The sequence below is a fragment of the Homo sapiens genome, chromosome 10, assembly GCF_000001405.40.
Source record: "Homo sapiens chromosome 10, GRCh38.p14 Primary Assembly".
Taxonomy (NCBI): Eukaryota; Metazoa; Chordata; class Mammalia; order Primates; family Hominidae; genus Homo; species Homo sapiens.
Genome location: NC_000010.11, coordinates 123,587,805 through 123,589,818, shown reverse-complemented (window position 1 = coordinate 123,589,818; position 2,014 = coordinate 123,587,805). Strand labels below are relative to the sequence as shown.

Here is a 2,014-nt window from a genome sequence, read left to right as displayed (position 1 = left end):
ACTACAAAGTCTGAGATAAAAACATACATTGGTCAAGATTAATGCCAATTAGGCACTGGAGAAGAAAATACTGTGATCTTGAAAACATAGCAGTAGAAACTACCCTAAGTGAAACACACAGAGATAAAAATTTTTTTTTCTTTTTTGACACAGAGTCTCACTCTGTCACCAAGCTGGAGTGCAGTGGCATGATCTCGGCTCACTGCAACCTCCGCCTCCCGGGTTCAAGTGATTCTCCTGCCTCAGCCTCCCAAGGAGCTGGGACTACAGGTACGCAACACCACTCCCAGCTAATTTTTATATTTTTAGTAGAGACAGGGCTTCACCATGTTGGCCAGGATGGTCTCGATCTCTTGACCTTGTGATCCACCCGCCCCAGCCTCCCAAAGTGCTGGGATTACAGGCATGAGCCACCGTGCCCGGCCAAGAATTTTTAAATAAACAGAGCATCATTGAGCTATGGGACAACTTCAAGAAACTGAATACACATGTAATTGGAGTCCTTAAAGGAGAGGAAAAAAGTGGGAGACACTTTTAACTGTTTTATTCCAGGAAATAAATAAGTGCTCATAGGACAGAATACTGATATCTCTCTGGAACATGCAAAAGGAAGGAGTCCCTTTTCAGCGTTCTTGTCTTTGAGAAACACTGGAGTCTCAAGCCAGGAAACCTATGCACTAACAAATGACTACAGGACATGAAAAGAGCTGTTGAAGTCCAAAGCCAGGCAAGAGCTCAGTCTTAGACTGCATGGGCGTTTGTTGGTTTGAGTGATTCCTTTGCTCCAGGTTGGTCAAGACAGGTGCAGCCTGGATATTTCTCTGTAGTTTGAGCCACATGCTTCCAACAGTGAAAGCATGTTTTTTAAGTCATCCTATGTTTTAGGTCTGAATGGAGAGTTTGCATGTTGGAATGCAGGGGCCTCAGTGCTCCACTGATGGTGTGGCTGGTGTAGCAGAGGTAAGAGTCTCAAAGGTCTTCTGTGCCCTGCAGCACTCATCCTCGTCTGCTTCCTGACCACATGGGCCTCTGAAGGCAAATGTAGCCACGTTAACAACGCGCACTGTGCCTGAGAGGCAGCCCAAGGGATGCCCTCACCTGCTGAAGTCTTAGAGCCATCCCTAGCACTTTGGGACCCTTTGGATGAGTTAAAAGCAGATGCCCCTGCAGGCAGATGAAGCGCACGAGTCTCAGCTTCCTGTGAACTAACAGAGCCCTGCCCAGTTACATAGCTGCACACGCAGACTTCTGTCTGGCATCTAGACCCCACTGCACCCCCTGGGCAAAGTGCCTATGGTCAGGGTACAGTGTGCACCATCTTAAGCAATAACTCCTTAGCCAGCTCCACTTGTCCTATTTCCCATGGCATGTGCACACTGCCTGGCCTGTCCAGCAGCTCTCACAGAGTGGTGGGGTTGTCTCTGTAAAGGATCCTCGTGGCCTCGGCAGCCCCTCCCCCACTGATAGAAGGAAGCTGTTCTCTTTCCTCTTTCTCACTCTGACTTTGCCTTGCATCTTCAGAGAACTTGGTTGATTTTCCATTCATTTCTGTCTGTTCATTCAACAAAGAGCCATTTCACATAGGAGGAAATATATATGGTTGATTTTGATAAAATGCACATTAAAACAATAATGAGAGTTTATTTTCACCCACCATATAGTTAAGAATTAAAAAGAGGGATAATATCAAATGTTTGCATATATGCAGAGAAACAGGCAGGCTTATACATTGTCATAGGAGTGCAACTGGATGATGAGTTTCAGAAAATAATTTGATTATATATATATCTATATATATATATCTCAAAACTGCAGCTCTAATAATTCCACTTCTAGAAATCATCACATTTTGAAACACTTCACATGTCTTGAAAGATATATGTAACAAAAATATTCATTGCTTCATTTTCTTCAATTGTGAGAAAATGGAAAGAACATTTAGGTTCTTAGGTTCATTAATAAGGGGTTGGTTAAATAAAATATGCTCCAACTATCCTATGGAATATTGTGTGGC

The 2,014-nt window shown here is 43.8% G+C and overlaps 1 annotated feature.

The window, feature by feature from the left end:
• Positions 1,179–1,682: an enhancer, noted in NCBI's record as "H3K27ac-H3K4me1 hESC enhancer chr10:125347653-125348156 (GRCh37/hg19 assembly coordinates)". NCBI's record gives its function as "activates a minimal SCP1, AML or CMV promoter by ChIP-STARR-seq in primed H9 embryonic stem cells {active_cell/tissue: H9 hESC(primed)}" and the evidence as "EXISTENCE:reporter gene assay evidence [ECO:0000049][PMID:30033119]".